At 41.3% G+C, this 19,427-nt stretch overlaps 1 protein-coding gene across 4 annotated transcripts in view, besides 1 other annotated feature; it reads left to right on the top strand.

Annotated features, from left to right (window-relative positions):
* The window catches only part of TYW1B (tRNA-yW synthesizing protein 1 homolog B), a 253,688-nt gene that overhangs the window by 156,007 nt on the left and 78,254 nt on the right, over positions 1–19,427 (top strand). The window lies entirely within an intron of this gene.
* Positions 16,250–16,766: an enhancer, noted in NCBI's record as "H3K27ac-H3K4me1 hESC enhancer chr7:72120413-72120929 (GRCh37/hg19 assembly coordinates)". NCBI's record gives its function as "activates a minimal SCP1, AML or CMV promoter by ChIP-STARR-seq in primed H9 embryonic stem cells {active_cell/tissue: H9 hESC(primed)}" and the evidence as "EXISTENCE:reporter gene assay evidence [ECO:0000049][PMID:30033119]".

Here is a 19,427-nt window from a genome sequence, read left to right as displayed (position 1 = left end):
AGCAAGTCACGTCTTATTACGTGGATGGTGGCAGGCAAAAAAATGAGAGAACTTGTGCAGGGGAACCCCACTTTTTCAAACCATCAGCTCTCATGAGACTTATTCACTATCACGAGAACAGCATGGGAAACACTTGCCCCATGATTCAGTTACCTCCTACCAGGTCCCCCCACAACGTGGGAATTCAAGATGAGATTTGGGTGGGGACCCAGCCAAACCATATCACCTTGTTCTTTGCCTTTAGACTTTATAAAATATTTATCCAGCCTCCTATTCTTTCCTTGAATTTTTCTCACTTACATAATGGTGTGTTTTGAGATTGAATAGTTCTGAAAAAAAAAAAAAAGACTTTTTAAATACAATTTTAAAAGAAATTAAAGTTAATAAAGTGAATAAAGTTGGTACACTTTTAAAAAAAGTTTAAAGTTGGTACTAAAATGTCCTAAACATACTGAAAATACTACTGCCAATCATTAAATAAAGACCTATAAGCCAATAGAAAATAAGAAAATAGAAAAATAAGGAAAAGAAATCCTTTAATGAAATCCACACAGCCCTTAAATATAGATAAAAATATTAGTGAAGAAGTAAGTACTCTCATACACCTGGTGAGACTATAAATTGCTTCAGCTTCATCTTTGAAGGTCACTTTTATGGTAGCTGTTAAAATAAAAATGTGCACTTTGAGTCAACAGTTCATATCTAGTAATTTACCCTGAGACATACATTCATGTGAAGAAAAATATATACAAGATTATTCATTGTGACATTATTTTTAATAGCAGAAGATTAGAAGCAAACTATCCATCAGTCAGGAGCCAGTTAAAATAAGTTATGGTTCAACCACACATTGAATTGGTTTTGACCCAAGTGTCTGGGGGTGGAGGGAGACCTTTGGCTGTATTCTTCCTTGTACCTTTTCTGAGTGTTACTTATTTTTAAAAAGGACAACTGTCAGAAGCCACCCCTAAGAAGATCATTTTTCTAAGGAATAATAACCTAGAAAGCTAGTATTTTCTATTTTGTAGGTTATTTTTCTGGGGAAAAATAGCCTATAAGTGTTTATTCATTTATTTTATGTCTCTCTGACCAGAGAACAGGGCCCTTGTTGGCCTTAGTCACTGGTCCCCAGAAACTAGAAGAACTTTTACCAGATATTAAACGTTCAATAAATATTTGCTGAGTGAATCAATACAGTTTGTGCAGTTTAGTTCTTTTTAACATTTATTTACAGACTGGAATATTAAGCTTTATGCAAACCTAAGAGGCCATCATAAAAATAAAAATACATCGTGTATATTTATTTTCCCTAAATATTCTAACCAACACGCAAAATAATTTTCCAAGTCTTAGACTAGTAATGGCTCAACTTGAATATGTTGTTTGAGCACCATTTGGTACAGTGGCTACTGAAAAGCACTGAGTGTTTCCTTTCATACTCCATTTATTCCCCCGCCTTTTGGAAGTGTTCAGACATTTTTAGAGTTCGTGTTTGTCTAGCCAAAATATTTCACTGGAAGCCCATGGGGGTCTTTCTACTCCTCAGAAAGCGAGCAGAATGCGAGTGTTTGACTCCCAGGGCACCATGCTATAATAGCTATGCAACCTTGGCCAAACCACCGAACCTCTGTGAAGTCTTTACTTCCTCACTGTAAAGTGGGGTTAAGAGTACTTCCTAATTGGAATTAAATGATAACACATGAGGCCAGACGTGGTGGCTCACACCTGTAATCCTGGCACTTTGGGAGGCCAAGGCGGGTGGATCACTTGAGTTCAAGAGTTAGAGACCAGCCTGACCAACATGGGGAAACCCCCTCTCTACTAAAAATACAGAATTAGTTGGGCGTGGTGGTAGGCGCCTGTAATCCCAGCTACTCGGGAGGCTGAGGCAGGAGAATCGCTTGAACCTTGGAGGCGGAGGTTGCAGTGAGCCAAGATCATGCCATTGCATTCCAGCCTGGGCAACAAGAGTGGAACTCAGTCTCAAAAAAAGATAACACATGAAAACTCTGAATACATTGCTTGGCACCTGGGCTCAATAATGTCAGTGCTATTACTATTTAGAGACAGGGATTCATTCTGTCACCCAGGCTGGAGTGCAGTGGCACAATCATGGTTCGCAGCAGCCTTGAACCCCTGGGCTCAAACAATCCTCCCACCTCAGCTGCCGGAGCAGCTGAGACTACAGGCATGTGCCACCACAGCCAGCTAATCTTTATTTATTTATTTATTTATTTATTTATTTATTTATTTATTTATTTTGTAGAAATGGGGTCTCACTGTGTTGCATAGGCTGGTCTTCAGCTCCTGGCCTCAAGTGGTTTTCCTACCTTGGCCTCCCAAGGCACTGGGATTATAGATGTGAATCACCACATCCAGCCAGTGCTGTTATTATTGTTATTTATTTATTATTATTTTTTTTCCGAGACAGAGCCTCGCTTTATCACCCAGTCTGGAGTGCAGTGGCGTGATCTCAGCTCACTGAAGTCTCTGCCTCCCGGGTTCAAGAAATTCTCCTGCCTCAGCTTCCCAAGTAGCTGGGACTACAGGCACAAGCCACCATGCCACCATGCCTGGCTGATTTTTTTTTTTAAGAGGCAGGGTTTCGCCATGTTGGCCAGGCTAGTCTTGAACAACTGGCCTCAAATGATCTGCCCACCTAGGCCTCCCAAAGTGCTGGGATTATAGGCATGAGCCACTGCGCCTGGCCAGCCAGTGCTATTATTAATAAAATTAGTTCAGAATTAGGCCAGGTGCAGTGGCTTATGCCTGTAATCCCAACATTTTTGGGAGGCTGAGGTGGGTGGATCACCTGAGGTCAGGAATTCAAGAGCAGCCTGGCCAACATGGTGAAACCCCATCTCTACTAAAAACACAAAAAATTAGCCGGGCGTGGTGGCAGGCGCCTGTGATCTGAGCTACTTGGGAGGCTGAGGCAGGAGAATCTCTTGAACCCAGGAGGCGGAAGTTGGAATGAGCCGAGATAGCGCCATTGCATTCCAGCCTGGAACAACAGGAGCAAAACTCCATCTCAAAAAAAAAAAAAAAAAAAAAAAAAAGTTTAAAATTAAATAGTGGTTGTTTGCCTCTTAGAATAATTTTTGTGTATAAATGACTGTCAATATTTTGGAGACTTTGTTTATACTATAATAATTTCCACCAACTCTTGCTTTGTGTGTAGTATATTTCAAGTTCTGTGCTAGGCAGGGGGATATAGTTACAACTGGGATGTGGTCTTTGCCTTAGAGGAATTGTTTGTGTGGGAGACAGATAGTTTCAGGACTTGGTGACAAGTGCTAGGCTACAAGGAGCATGAGGAGAGATGCTGACATTGACATCAGAAAAGGCATTCTGCAAGAAGTGATAGCGGAACTGAGACTTAAAACCTAGCGTTATTTAATGCATACTTTATTCATCTGGCATAAACTTAAAATGTCACAGACTGATAGGGAGTTAGAAGTAAGCTTTCCCTCCACTCTGACCTCCAGCTGCTCTGTGTTCCTTAAGAGCCACCACTGATTACTAAAGAGCCTTCCTGTTTGTGGAAGCAGGCAGAGTTTGGCGATTTGGGAAAGCACGTGTGGCTTGTGGAGCAGTTCAGTTCCACCAGAGTCCAAGAGCATGGGGTCGGATGGGGAGTGGAATGACAGTGGATAAGCTGGGGTGTTGAGAAGGAGTTTTCTCGGCCTTCATGTTAAAAAACAAATCTACACTACTCCAAAAATGGGAAATGGTCTTAACGATCTAGCTGTCCACAAGCTGATAGTGCCTAGCACACTGAGAGAGCTTTTAAAAGGCTGTTTAAATAATTCTGTGATTCTAAAAACATTCAAGTAATCATTTGACAGAAGCTGAGAAAGCATTTTTTGATATATATGCTAATTAGCTACTTTTTTGACTTAAAAACGGTTGAACAAAAACATCTATAATAGTGTATAAGTATTGAGTCATGGATGACATTTTCTCCTGTTTTCCAGTTTCCACTGAAAACAAACAAAATCTATGATAACATTACAGAAAAACAATTTGTATTTTATCTTTAAAAGTTTAATGAAATTTTATGTAGGTCATTAATGTAGCAGTGGATCATTAATTCAGTAGACATTTCTAGGACTCCGAGGCCTAGATGACCAAATACATGGGTAGTGTGTGTCATGGGAGGGTGACTTAAAGACTTTTTTCATTTGAGAAAGTATCTTTTATGTGACACTAGCTGTGTTAAGGTCAACCTTGAGTAAATTATGGCTTGAATAGTAGTGACACACAACTACCTAAAAAATAAGAAAAATGGTTTTAAAGATCTGGCTAGCCACAAGGGAATAGAATTTTCTCTACCCTTTGACTTTTGATTCATATATCATCAGATTGCCTGAAGAGTATAGGAACAGACATCTCTTCCAAATACAGGCATACCCTACAGGTCACCTCTTTGTGTTGCTGGTTTTCCACTACAACATCTCTTTGTTTTGTTTTGTTTTTTTGAGCTGGAGTCTTGCTCTGCCACCCAGGCTGGAGTGCAGTGGCATGATCTCAGCTCACTGCAGCCTCCACCTCCCGGCTCAAGCGATCCTCCTGTCTCAGCCTTCCGAGTAGCTGGGACTACAGGCCTGTGTCACCACACCTGGCTAATTTTTGTATTTTTTATAGAGACAGGGTTTTGCCGTGTTGCCCAGCCTCTTCTAGAACTCTGAGCTGAAGCTATCTGCCCGGGTTGGCCTCCCAAAGTGCTGAGATTGCAGGCGTGAGCCACCGCGCCTGGCCTCCTCTTTGTTTTTAATATCCAAACTTCCTACAGCACAGCAGTCTTTCAATACAACGTTTTAAATTGATACTTACAAAGGCAACATTTATATTTATTTCCAAAAACTAATACAGCATTTTAAACAAAAACATGTGCAGGAAAAATCCAGAATGCCAGCTCCAAATATAATCAGTCAATGATGAGAGTCAGATGTGGGTGATTTGAAAGGCCTACTAATTTGCTTCTTGCTGGTGCTGGCACTGAGAGAGGCCACTTTCCCATCCTGAGCAGTTGATGTGAATCTTGTTTTTTTGTTTTCAGTTGTTAGCAGTCTTCTACATATTTTACAGACCAATACAATGGTTATTGTACATATGGGCATTTTACCCTGTTTTAGTTTCTTTTTTTTTTTTTTTTTTTTGAGACGGAGTCTCGCTCTCTCTCCCAGTCTGGAGTGCAGTGGCGCGATCTCGGCTCACTGCAAGCTCCGCCTCCCAGGTTCATGCCATTCTCCTGCCTCAGCCTCCTGAGTAGCTGGGACTACAGGCGCCTGCCACCACGCCTGGCTAATTTTTTTGTATTTTTAGTAGAGATGGGGTTTCACTGTGTTAGCCAGGATGGTCTTGATCTCCTGACCTCGTGATCCACCCGCCTCGGTCTCCCAAAGTGCTGGGGTTACAGGTGTGAGCCACCGCGCCCGACTGGTTTCATTTTTAAAAACTGGAGATTTTGAGTTGATGTGTAACACATTTTAATTTTTCCCAATTAAAATAGTGTGAAATATGCTTCATTTAGCATTTTCAGGAACAGGTTGGTGCTCTCAACTAGGAGATTCCTGTGTTACTATTGTTTCATCATCTTAGATCAGCCAGTGATATGGTGGTTCTTTAAATGTATTGGGTATATATTTCCTATGGTCATTTTTTTCTGAATGCCTTCCTGCTGCCCACTGTATTTCAAGTAGCATTTTTCAAATTTATAGTATTTAGCTTATCATTTTTATGTTTTGTTTCTTTGGGTTTTTTTTGAGACAGGGTTTTGCTCTGTTGCCCAGGCTGGAGCATAGTTGCACAATCACAGCTCACTGCAGCCTCCGCCTCCTGGGCTTAAGCAATCTTCCCACCTCAGCCTCCCAAATAGTTGGGACTACAGGTGCGTGCCACCATGCTCAGCTAAATTTTTATTTTATTTATTTATTTTTTTTAGAGACAGAGTTTTGCCATGTTGCCCAGGCTGGTCTTGAACTCCTGGGCTCAAGCAATCTGCCCACCTGGACCTCCCAAAGTACTGGGATTATAGGCGTGAGCCACCATGCCTGGCCTTTGTTCTTTTTTATTATTTTTATGGTACTTATTTAGATGTAAGTTTAAGTTTGGGGTTCATAGTTATAATCATACTATGTGCATAACTTTATCTCCTTTGTAACATAAGTAGTTTTCCATCCTGTGATAGAATCTTGCTCTATTTCTTCATAGTGATAGATTGCCTTCCTCCAGTACTTACCCATTTTCCCTTGTATTTTTATTTTTATGATGCCTTCTTATGTTTGCATAACATTTAATATACTAGACCATAAACAAATGTTAAAAAGATCTGAACTGTCCAAACTGTATTCATTCACTCAACAAATATTTATTGAGTGCTTAATATCTGGTAAAGATTCTTCTAGCTTCTGAGGACAAGCAAATAGGCAGATAAGGCCCCTGTTTTCTGATAGGAGAGACAAAAAATAAACAAAAATATAACATAGGCTACTGCCACTGAACACAATGGAGCAAGACCAACAAAAGTGTAAACAAAGCGCAACCACTTGGTAATTCAGAAGAATCACTTTTAATTTTCATTAAGTGAAAGGGAATTCAAAACTACAATTACAGGTACTTGTAAGATAGTGAAAATAAGAATATTATATAACAATATTCAGAATTGGACCAAACATGAATTATATCACTTGGGATTCAGATCAGCTGCATATAACATCCCCAGATGGTGGGTTAATCAAATTAGAAATATCTTTTCTCCTAATGTCACAGAAGCCTGATTGTAGGTGAACCAGAGGTTGATACAGTGGCTTCTCAGTGTCATCAGAGACTCAGATTCCTGTCTTCTTTGACATTGAACAGACGACTTTCATTCTGCAGTTTACTTCATGGTTCATAATGGTTGCTAGAGCTCCAGCCATCATGTTGGCATTCCAGCCTTCATTTTGAGTAGACAGTACAAAGATGTGTACAAGAAGGGCACATCTTCTTTCTTTTAAAATTATTTGCATAACTCTTCCATTTACATCTTGTTAGACAGAACTAGGTGTCTTAGCCACCCCTTGCTAGAGGGAGACTGGGAAATAGGTTCTTTTAGCAGAGCAGAGTCGGCCCTCTGTATCCACAGGCTGTGTCCTTGCAGATTCAACCAACCACACATTGAAAATATTCAGAAAAAAATAACAATACAACAATAAAAAAATACAGTGTAAAGACTACCTAGCGTTTACATTGTATTAGCTATTGTAAGTAATCTAGAGATTATTTAAAGTATATTGGAGAATGTGCATAGATTAAATGCAAATATGACATCATTTTATATAAGAAACTGGAGCATCCATGGATTTTGCCGTCCATGAGGTTCCTGGAACCAATCCCCCATAGATCATATATTGCTGTGACCAAGTAGCTCAAGCATGCTCTGTATTTTTTTTTTAAACTCTTAAGTTCAAAGGTATATATGCACATTGGTTACATAGATAAACTTGTGTCGTGGGAATTCGTTGTACAGATTATCTCATCATCCAGGTATTAAGCCTGCTACCCATTTGTTTTTTTCCTGATCCTCTCCTTCCTCCCATTCTCCACTCTGTGATAGGCCCCAGTGTGTGTTGTTCCTCTCTATGTGTCCATGTGTTCTCATCATTTAGCTCCCACTTATAAGTGAGAGCATGTGGTATTTGGTTTTCCATTCCTGTGTTAGTTTGCTAAGGATAATGGCCCTGCAGAGGACATGATCTTGTTCTTTTTTATGTCTGCAAGGTACTTTGCTTATAAGGACAAAGGGGAGAATAGGGATTGGTGGGCAACTAGTTATCTACTAGTTACCTCAGTAAGCTAAGCATTAAATCTAAGAAACAGCAAAATAAGCCTATGGAAATTAGGAAGAAGGAAAGAATCAAGGTAAAAGAAAAAATAAATTAATTTGGAAAAAAAAAAGAAACCCAAATATTTGACAAATCGGAGATTATTGATGCCTGTTACCAAAGTAATCTCAATGGTTTGGTGGAGATGGACGGCAGATTGTCATAATGTTTGGCAAGAAAGAGAATAGATGGTCATCTTGGGAGGAAGGGTCACAGAAGGCTTTGGGGTTTGTGGGGGTGCTTTGAGGGGAGGGTTGTTGGTCTGTTGGTTTGAAGTGGGGAGACTTGAACATGGACACGTAGGTAGAAAAGAAGATGTAAGAGAGTTGATGTTTATATATCTCAGTAGAGATACATTTTATTTCTAATATCTAGAATAATGGTTTCACCTGTTTCTCAGGATTCTTGAGTTATTGTGATATATGTGTAAATGGTTTGTACTCGTTCAACAGAGTGTCGTAAGATTAAAAAAAAAATTAACATGAGTCCGAGACTCCAAGTTGGAACTAAGGTCACTTAACAAGGTTTACTTGAAAGTGATTTTTTTTTTTTTTTTTTTTTTTTGAGATGGAGTCTTGCTGTCTCCCAGGCTGGAGTGCAGTGGCGTGATCTCGGCTCACTGCAAGCTCCGCCCCCCGGGTTCACGCCATTCTCCTGCCTCAGCCTCCCTAGTAGCTGGGACTACAGGCGCCTGCCACCACGCCCGGCTAATTTTTTATATATATATATTTAGTAAAGACGGGGTTTCACTGTGTTAGCCAGGATGGTCTCGATCTCCTGACCTCGTGATCTGCCCGCTTCGGCCTCCCAAAGTGCTGGGATTACAGGTGGGAGCCACCGTGCCCGGCTTTTGAAAGTGATTTTTATTTGTTTTAGGTCACATAGATCATGGATTTTCACCTAGCAGAGAACTGGGGGAGGGGGCACTCCAAGAGCACCCGGGTGGTTTGAACTGACATTTTAAAAAATAACCATTGCTTTCAATTTGTTTTTAATGATATTTACTTTGAAATTTCAAATAGCATTGAAGGAACATTTTCATGTTTATCAAAAGTGGTTTGGGATTTAAAATGATGGTGACCCATTGCCACAAACAGATAACAAAGAAGTCATCGTGCCGCCAACCCCCCCACAACCCCCCGCCTTGACTAAGAGACCAGTGGCATTTTACCCCATTACCAAGTAGATTTCATCCTCCTTAATTTCTTCTACATGGAATCATTCACGGCCATTCATCTCACCACTTGTTTAAAAATTTTTAGCCTGGCTATTGCCATTTTGGAGATTAGAGTTGAACCTTTTTATGAGAATCATCATGTTTGATTTATGAAAAAAAGAATTTACAGGAAAGGGAAATAAAAAAGAATGATCAGAAGCTAATTTCTTTTGCTCATTGAAACTAGAAAGAAGGAAGCACTTTCTCAAGTTGACATTTGAAAACCTTTATTAGTGCATTTGGGAAATGAAGATAATAGAAACTATATGGGTTCTATTTGATTTATGGCAGTGTGAAGATGGCTTGCTCTTCTGATGTGGGTCCATAAGAAACTCATGTACATGGCAAAAACTCATTTGCCACTTTCATAGGAATAAAAAAAATTATGCCATTAGTTCCTTCATAGTCTGAGATATTGGATTGAAATAAATACCATTTATATTCAGCCATTTGCACCTTCCCTTCCACACACTGGGGGGAAAAATGTGTTTTGCCTGTTAGAAATGTTAAAAATCATGTAAATAAAATTTGAGCAGCTCTTAGAGTTTGTTAGCTTTTTCTCTACCAGTTTTAGAATCTTTCTGATGTGATATTTTTCTAGCTTTGGAGCTTGTGAAAAAAGGAAAAAAATTTATCTATCTATCTATCTATCTATCTATCTATCTATCTATCTATCTATCTATATATATATATTAAAAACCTGAAGGGATATATCATCATTCATTTCTCCTCCTAACACGTGAACCACATCACGAGATGTGGGGAGACCCCGACCTGGTCCAGTGGCTGAAGGAACACTTCATTTTATTTTTGTTCACTGTTATCTGTTGACTCCATTGACTTTCAAAGCTAACTATTTAAAGATTTATATCACCAGAAAGCACATTTCCCTTCTTTTCTTCTCCTGGCTTATGAAAGCAAATTACCATCTTTTGCCTTTATGTTCTTTGAAAATATCTGGTAGACCCTGAAAAACACTGGAGAATTCCCAGGTTGTAGGTCCATTTGTCTGTTTATAACCCATTATGACATGACCATGTCTTCACCATTCCTCCTAGCGTAAAGGCAGTGATTCTTTTTGGACTCTGGTTGCCATTTTTTGGGTTTGGTAGGACTGAGGACAGGGATTAGAGGAAAGCTAGAGACTGCCTAGTTTTCTAGAACTTCCTCATAATCTCTGAAAGGGAAATAGGGAAGTAGAGAAGCAGAGTCCACAACAAACACAAACCTACCACCTTTGGTGTCATTCTCAGATCAGGAAAACAAAACAAAACCCAAAACAAAAAAACTACCACCTGCCCATCTCTTAGTGGAGGTGCAGTTTGAATACAGTCATTTCATTATCAAACACAAAGATTATATCCTACAACATCTGTGTGATAGGGGAAGTCAAGTTTGAAGAATTAAGCTCTTTAAAGCAAAATTTAAATCAAAGTTGGGAATTGTAGCAATCAGTGAAAACCCTTCTAAATATTATGTTCATTTAGCAAAAGGACCAAGGAAATAATGTTGAATAGAGAATATTAGTAACATTTTATACACCTTTAATTAGTAATGAGTACTATTCAATGAATTTCTACTTTTCTGTTTCTTTCTTGCAACTAAAATTTCAGATTCTCCTACAGCATCCACGTGATAATTATAAATTTGTTTTGTCCTGTGTTTGTGCATAGTAAATACAGGCCTTGTCTTTTTTTTCCCCCCTGTCTGACCCATGACTGAGCTGTTGACTTTCAGGGTCCACTGGGCTCAAGAAACCCAGAGAATTTCGTGCTTGAAATTAAAAACCTGTGGGTAAATTTTATTTAATCCATTTAATGTATCCTATTTCAAACTTAGTTTCTAACACATTAGTTACCTATAGTGCCCCCCCGCCCCCCACCAGACCTCCCTAGAATTCAGCAGAGCTGCTCCAATTATTCAGCTGATTCTTTTCCTCCCATTATATTCTTCTTCTTCTTCTTTTTTTTTTTTGGAGACAGAGTCTTACTCTGATGTCCAGACTGAAGTGTAGTGGCGAGATCTTGGCTCACTGCAACCTCCGCCTCCTGGGTTCAAGCGATTCTCCTGCCTCAGCCTCCCGAATAGCTGGGATTAAAGGTGCGTGCCACCACGCCTAGCTAATCTTTTGTATTTTTAGTAGAGATGAGGTTTCATGTTGGCCAGGCTGGTCTTGAACTCCTGACCTCAGGTGATCCACCCGCCTCAGCCTCCCAAAGTGTTGGGATTACAGGCATGAGCCACTGTGCCTGGCTCACCATTAGAACCTAATTCTAAAGTGCATTTTTAAGGCCTGGGTTTGTTTTGTCTTTTAATTCTTACTTGTGACTGTAATCCAGAACCTTCTACTGCTCTGCCTTTTATTTTATATCCCTTTCTCTCTTACCAATACCTAGGTCTTTCTCTTTCCTAATGTCTCCTTTAGGAGTGATTCAGAATTCTTATATATTTTCATTTAAATCTTCACAGTTAAGGAAAATACATAGAGGAATATATCTATAAGCAGTAGCAGGATTTTGCAAACGGGAAACTGGTGTTCAAACAAGAATCATTGTGTCGGATGGCAGAATCTGAAAGTAGTTCTTTCTCAACAGAAATGGTAGAGACTGGTGTGAGGGGTTGGGAAACTGCAGCTCAGGGCCCAAATCTGGCGTGACTTGTTTTTATAAATAAAGTTTTATTGGAACAGCCATGCTGCTGCTCCTTTTTTTGTTTGTTTGTTTGTTTGTTTGTTTGGAGACAGGGACTTGCTCTTTTGACCAGGCTGGAGTGCAATGGCCCAATCACAGCTCACTGCAGCCTCGATCTCCTGGGCTCAAGCGATCCTCCCACCTCAGCCTCCCCAGTAGCTGGGACCACAGGCATGCACCATCACACCTGGCTAATTTTTAAAATTTAATTTTAGTAGAGATGAGGTCTTGCTATGTTGTGCAGGTAGGTCTCGAACTCCTGGCTCATGTGATCTTCTCACCTTGGCCTCTTAAAGTGCTGGGATTGTAGGTGTGAGCTGCCACACCTGGTCGCCATGATTCTTGTTTACATATTGTCTGTGGTGCTTTCCTGCCACACTGGCAGAGTGGGGTAGCTGCCACAGAGACCATTTGGTTCTCAAAGCCTAAAATATTTACTATGTTCACATGTTATTTATAGAAAAAGTTAACTGACCCCTGGATTAGACTCACCATTAGGATACTCGGAAACTGCTCTGCTAAGGCTTTACTCATGAATTGCCATATCTATAACGGCTTCCTCGTTCATCCTCCTGAATGCAGTGCTGTTTCACCTTGCTCACCATCAGTTGCCTCTTGAAACTCTCTCCTTTGGGGGTTTTAGAAGATTTTGCTCTCATTGTTTTTTTCTTCTTTGCTGGCATCTTCCCCTCGTCTTTTGACAATCTTGCTTGAGCATATCATTGTATCCTCCCTCACCCCACCACCCGGTTTGCACACCTAGGTTCTGTTTCCGTATTTTGACCTCAACTTGCCTCTTACACATATTCACCAGTTTTTTGTTTTTTTCTTTTCTTTTCTTTGAGACAGAGTCTCCTTCGGTCACCGAGGCTAGAGTGCAGTGGCATGATCTCGGCTCACTGTACCCTCAGCCTCCCGGGTTCAAGTGATTCTCCTGCCTCAGCCTCCCTAGTAGCTGGGACTACAGGTGTGGGCCACCACGCCTGGCTCATTTTTGTATTTTTAGTAGAGACAGGTTTCACCATGTTAGCCAGTTTGGTCTTGAACTCCTGACCTCTGGTGATCCACCTGCCTGGGCCTCCCAGAGTGCTGGGATTGCAGGCGTGAGCCACCACGCCCTGCCATATTCATCAGTTTTTTGCTGGCACCTTGGAATCTAAAGGAACACAACTGAGCTTATTGTCTCTGTTCTGAAGCCTGCCTTCCTCCTTGCTAGCTCCAGCTGTGTAGTTCTCCAGTCACACCACACCGGGGGTGGGAGGTCATTTTTCTGTTCTTGTCACATTTAGCCCCAGCCTTCACAGTTGCTAGATGATGTTTATATTAGGTTTCTTGGGCTTTCTTCCTAATGATTAAGGTAATACATGCTGAATGCATGCTTTTTAAATCTTATGTTTATGGGTGGGTGTGGTGGCTCATGCCTGTAATCCCGGCACTTTGGGAGGCCAAGGTGGGCAGATCACTTGAGGTCAGGAGTTCAAGACCAGCCTGGCCAACATTGCAAAGCCCCATCTCTACTAAAAATACAAAAATTAGCTGGGTGTTGTGGTGCACGTCTATAATCCAAGCTGCTTGGGAGGCCGAGACAGGAGAATCGCTTGAACACGGGAGGTGGAGGTTGCAGTGAGCCGAGATTGTGCCACTGCACTCCAGCCTGGGTGACAAAGCAAGACACAGTCTCAAAAAACAAAACAATACAAAATAGTCTTATGTTTATATATGTAGATGTATATTTGTACATACATATCCATATTGTTTTAATGTATCATGCTATATGTATAATGTAGTTTCTTTTTAAGGAAAATAATTACTTTATCAAATTTGCTCTCATAAAATATACAGAAATATAAAAATGAAAACCACCCTGGTTGGACCCCCATTTCCTTCCCGCTTAAGTTTCATTCCCTAGAAGGAGTATCTATTTATAATTTAGAAACCATCTTTATTGACGTGTTTAGTTTATACTAACTATACTTGAATTTTTAAAGTACAAATTGGATCGTGCTTTGCATACTGCCTACAAGTTGCTTTTTTTGTTTGTGTAACAATATTTTTAATGTGTTTTACCTCTTTGTATACAAGCAGTTTTACCTCAGTGTTAAATTAGTTGCATTTTATTCCATGGATATGTCATTCATTTTAATGACTTTCTTTTTTTTTTTTTTTATTGAGACGGAGTCTCGCTCTGTCACCCAGGCTGGAGCGCAGTGGCGCGATCTCAGCTTACTGCAAGTTCCACCTCGTGGGTTCACACCATTCTCAGCCTCCCAAGTAGCTGGGACTACAGGCGCCCGCCACCACACCTGGCTAATTTTTTTGTATTTTTTTAGTAGAGACGGGGTTTCACTGTGTTAGCCAGGATGGTCTTGATCTCCTGACCTCATGATCCACCTGCCTTGGCCTCCCAAAGTGCTGGGATTACAGGTGCGAGCCACCGCTCCTGGCCCATTTAACGACTTTGTGATAGTTACTTCCATTTGTCTGTGATTATAAACAGTTGAGCATACTTTTATTTTTCAATAAACTTGTATTTTGGAACAGTTTTATGATGGTAGATATTCTTTCACTTCCAGATATAGGACTCCCTTAAACATTTCTTGTACAGTCAGTCTAGTGGTGAAGAATTATCTGTTTTTACTAGTCTGGGAAAGACTTTATTTCTCCTTCATTTCTGAAGGATAGTTTTGCTGGATGTAGTATTTTTGATAAGCAGTTTTTTTCTTTCAGTACTTTGATTGTATCATCCCATTCTCTCCTGTTCTATAAGGGTTCTGCTAAGAAATTTGCTCTTAGTCTAATGGAGATTCCCTTATATATGACTTGACACTTGTTGTTTTTAGAATTCTCTTTCACTTTTGACAGCTTGACTATAGTGTGCCTTAGAGAAGACCTTCTTGGATTGAATATATGTGGGGATCTTTGAGCCTACTGTATCTGGTTATCTATATCTCTCTCTCAAGACTTGGAGAAATTTTAAACTATTATTTTATTAAATAGGTTTTTTATACCTTTGTCCATTTCTTCTCTTTCTGGAACTCCTGAAATTCAAATATATGTTTGCTTTATGGTGTCCTGCATGTCACATAGGCTTTCTATATACTTTTAAATTATCTTTTTTAAAAAAATCTGAGTTGTTTCAAAAGCCTTGTCTTCAAGTTCAGAAGTTCTTTCTTCCACTCTAATCTCGTGTTGAAGCTCTTGATTTTATTTTTTATTTCATTCATTAAATTCTTCTGTTCCAAGATTTCTGATTTGGTTCTATTTTAGGATATCTGTATCTTTGTATTGTTGATCTGTGTTATAATCCACTGAGTTTCCCCAAGATCATTATTTTGAATTCTTTTCAGGCATTTCATAAATTTCCTTTTCTTTGAGATCTTTTACTGGAGAATTACGATTTTCCTTTGGAGGAGATATTGTTTGGTTGTTTGTCCCCTCCAAATCTCATGTTGAAATGTGATCCCCAATGTTGGAGGTGGGGCCTGGTGGAAGGTGTTTAGGTCATGGAGACAGATCCCTCAGGAATGAGTTGGTGCTGTCCTTGTGATAGCGAGTGAGTTCTTGCAAGACCTGGTTGTGTAAAAGTGTGTGGCACCTTTCTCCTCCTTTGCTCTTGCTCCCACTCTCACCATGTGATGCACCTGCTCCCCCTTCACCTTCCACCATGAGTGTATGCCTCCTGAGGCCTCACCAGAAGCAGGTCGCAGCACCATGCTTCCTGTACACCCTGCAAAACTGTGAGCTAATTAAACCTCTTTTCTTCATAAATTACCCAGCTTTAGGTATTCTCTTTTTTCTTTTTTTTTTTGAGACAGAGTTGCTCTGTCACCCAGGCTGGAGTGCAGTGGCGCGATCTCGATCTCAGCTCACTGCAAACTCCACCTCCCAGGTTGAAGCGACTCTCATGCCTCAGCTTCCCAAAGTGCTGGGATTATAGGCATGAGCCACTGAGCCCGGCTAAGTATTCTTTTATAGTGGTGCAAATGGACTAACACAAGAGGTATCATGCTTTCTTGCTTCCTCATCATTCTTGTGTCCTTATCATTGATATCTTACACCTGGTTTAATGATCCCTTCTTCCAATTTTATGGATTAGCTTTCAGAGGCAAAGACTTTTTCCTGTAGATGTATTTATACTGTTGGTTGGGTAGTAGTTCTGGGTGGGTGCAGCAGTGTAGTCTTTTTATGACTTTTTGGATTGTAATCAATGTCAGTGGTGTGTGAGAGTTCCTCTCAGTGGCATAGGCTGTGGTTGTTAGTGGAGGCTGTGGTAGGGCTTTGCTGGGAAGGGGATATCAGCCCAATCATTTGTAAGGCGCCAGTCAGTGGTGGTGGCAGCATGGCCCTGGATGGCAGACAAAGATGCCAGTAGTGGCTGTGGGGTCCTGGTCGGGCCAGTCTTTGGGCCTCCAGGTGGCATGCTCATGCAATAGTGGTGGCAGTCATGGGCTGGGCCTGTGGGTTCTTAGGCCCCAGGCAGTGTGCCATGGCGCTGGCTCTAGCAGTAGTGGCAGTGGACCAATCCTCAGGCCCCTGGGAGACATGCAGTTGGTGACAGTGGGCGGTGACAGGTGGAGTGGGTTGATCCCCAGGCTCCTGGACAGTGTGTGCAGATGGGCAGACACATCTTCATGCCCAGAGAAACCACGTTTTCAGGGCACCTGAAGGTGTATGCAGGTACATTGGCGGCCCTGCCAGGGGTTGCTACCGGTGACTATGGCCCTAGGCAGGTAGCTCCCAGGCTTTGGAGAACACATGTTTTGGCTCTTTTTGTCCTGGGAGTAGTCATCTTGGTGTGTTGGCCATCTGTTTCCCAAGGTATAGGACATGGGGTGGACTAGAGTGCTGGGGACCTGGCCACATCACTGGGTCTGGCTGGCGTTGTGCTGCTACAGCCTTCTGGAAGAACATGGGGGATGCCAGCAGGGCTCCAGGGATGTGGAGATGCAGGGGCTATTGGGCTCCAGGGCAGGATGCAGTCTGGTGGGGGTTGAGCTCAATACGGTGCTGTGATGTAGTTGCTTGGGGCTCCTGGTGTGAGTGGGACCCAGTGTGAATTCTCTCTCTGGAACGGTTAGTCATGTGGATTCCAGAAAGCCTCCTGTACCAGGCTTAGGGCTTGTGAGAGCTGAGGGACTCTTCTGGGGGTAGGGTTGCAGGTGTCAGTGGTGGGGATGTGGGCCACTGGGGACCTCTCACTTACCTTTCCCCTCTCCTTCTGTGTCTTAGACATTCCCAATCACTTCCCTGCCAAAAATCCCATATTGTCTCTTAGATGCTCTTTTCGAGGTGTGGTTATCTACTTGCTATTCTGGTCCTTCTTTGTGGAGGAGGTGAGTACCAAGCGCCTCTAGTCAACCATCTTGATGACATCTCCTATGACAGTTTTAGATTTACAGAAAAATTACAAAGATAGTACAGAATTCCCATGCACACCCCCTTTCCCAGCACACACCGTTTCTGTTATTGTTAACGTCTTACATTACTACGGTTCATTTGTTACAATTTATGAACCAATATTTTTTGTTGTTTATTTTTTGAGATGGAGTCTCTCTCTGTCACCCAGGCTGGAGTGCAATGGCACAATCTCGGCTCACTGCAACCTCTGCCTCCTGGGTTCAAGCAATTCTCCTGCCTCAGCCTCCCAAGTAGCTGGGATTGCAGGTGTCAACCACCACGCCTGGCTAATGTTTGTATTTTCAGTAGAGATGGGGTTCCACTGTATTGGCCAGGCTGGTCTTGAACTCCTGACCTCAGGTGATCCACTCGCCTCAACCTCCCAAAGTACTGGGATTACAGGCGTGAGCCACCGTGCCCGGCCTATAACCAGTATTAATACATAAAATTCATACTTTTATTTAGATTTCTTTAGGTTTGGCTGAAGGGATGCCCCTTTTATATTCCAGGATCCCATTCAGGATAGCACCTTACATTTAATGGACTTACTTCCTTAGGCTTCTCTAGGCTGGACAGTTTCTCAGACTTCCCTTGTCTTTGATACCTTGACAGTTTTGAGCAGGACTGGTCAGGTATTTTGTAGAATGTCCCTTGATTAGGATTTTTCTGATACTTTTCTTATGATTAAATTGTGCTTATGTGTTTTGGGGAGAAGACCAGAGAGCTGTAATAGAATTTGTATATATTAAGGCTCATTCTTTGTGCTATAAAGTTCTGTGATTTTGATTAGTAAAGACTTATGTTTTAGGGGGAAAGTATGCAGTTTCTTACTGTTAAGTTTGCTATTAGCTGTAGGTTTTCTGTAGATATTCTTTATTATGTTGGGGAAGTTCCCCTTAATTCCTTGTTTGCTGAGGATTTTTTTTTTTTTTTTTTCTTTTTTGTGATGGAGCCTTGCTCTGTCGCCCAGGCTGGAGTGCAGTGGCATGCTCTTAGCTCACTGCAGCCTCCGCCTCCTGGGTTCATGTGATTCTCCTGCCTCCGCCTCCTGAGTAGCTGAGATTGCAGGTGTGCGCCACCACATGTGGCTAATTTTTGTATTTTTAATAGAGACAGGGTTCAGCTATGTTGGTTGGGCTGGTCTCAAACTCCTGACCTTGTGATCCACCCGCTTCGGCCTCCCAAAGTGCTGGGATCACAGGCGTGAGCCACCACGCCTGGCCTGCTAAGGATTTTATCATGAATAGACGTTGGCTTTTGTCAAATGCTTTTCATTGTCAATTGATATGATCATATTATTTTTCTGTACTAGCCTGCCAATGTGTGATGTTGAATGAATTTTGAATGTTGAACCAGCCTTGCATACCTGGAATAAATCCCAGCTGGTTAGCAGGTATATTATTATTATTATTTTTTGAGACGGAGTCTCGCTCTGTCGCCCAGGCTGGAGTGCAGTGGCATGATCTTGGCTCACTGCAAGCTCCGCCTCCCAGGTTCACGCCATTCTCCTGCCTCAGCCTCCCATGTAGCTGGGACTACAGGTGCTCGCCACCACGCCTGGCTAATTTTTTGTATTTTTAGAAGAGACGGGGGTTTCACTGTGTTAGCCAGGATGGTCTCGATCTCCTGACCTCGTGATCCGCCCGCCTCGGCCTCCCAAAGTGCTGGGATTACAGGCGTGAGCCACTGCGCCCGCCCTCTTTTCATTTTTGATATTGGTAATTTGTGTCTTCTCTCCATTTTTCTTGATTAGCCCGGCTAGAAGTTTGTTAATGTAATTTTATTTTTCCAGAGCCAAATTTTTGTTTTGTTGATTATTCTCTTTTGGTTTTCTCTTACCTATTTTATTGATTTCTGCTCTGACTTTTATAATTTCTTTTCCTCTGCTCGCTTTAGCTTAAATTGCTCTTGTTTTTCTACTTTCCTAAAATGAAGGATTCGATTACTGATTTTTTTCACTTAGTAATATATCATGATCCTTTGTCTAAGTATTATATTACCTCAAGTTTAAATTGCTGCATATTCATTAGTTGGGTTTGTCATGATTTTCTTAACCCATCTACTATTAAATAGCACTGCAAAAATTTATGTACACCTTTGCACATATTTCGGATCATTTACTTAAATTCTGGAAGGCAAATTCCAGGGATAGGAGGCTACAGTTGTAAAGTTTAACAGATATTTCCGAATTTGCCCTTTAGTAAGGTTACATCTCATGGTCTTGTCATTTTTGCACATTCTTACATGATGAAGTAC

The sequence above is a fragment of the Homo sapiens genome, chromosome 7, assembly GCF_000001405.40.
Source record: "Homo sapiens chromosome 7, GRCh38.p14 Primary Assembly".
NCBI classification, from domain to species: Eukaryota; Metazoa; Chordata; class Mammalia; order Primates; family Hominidae; genus Homo; species Homo sapiens.
The sequence above is the reverse complement of the archived record's forward strand: the minus strand, read 5'-3'. Positions and strand labels throughout refer to the sequence as shown.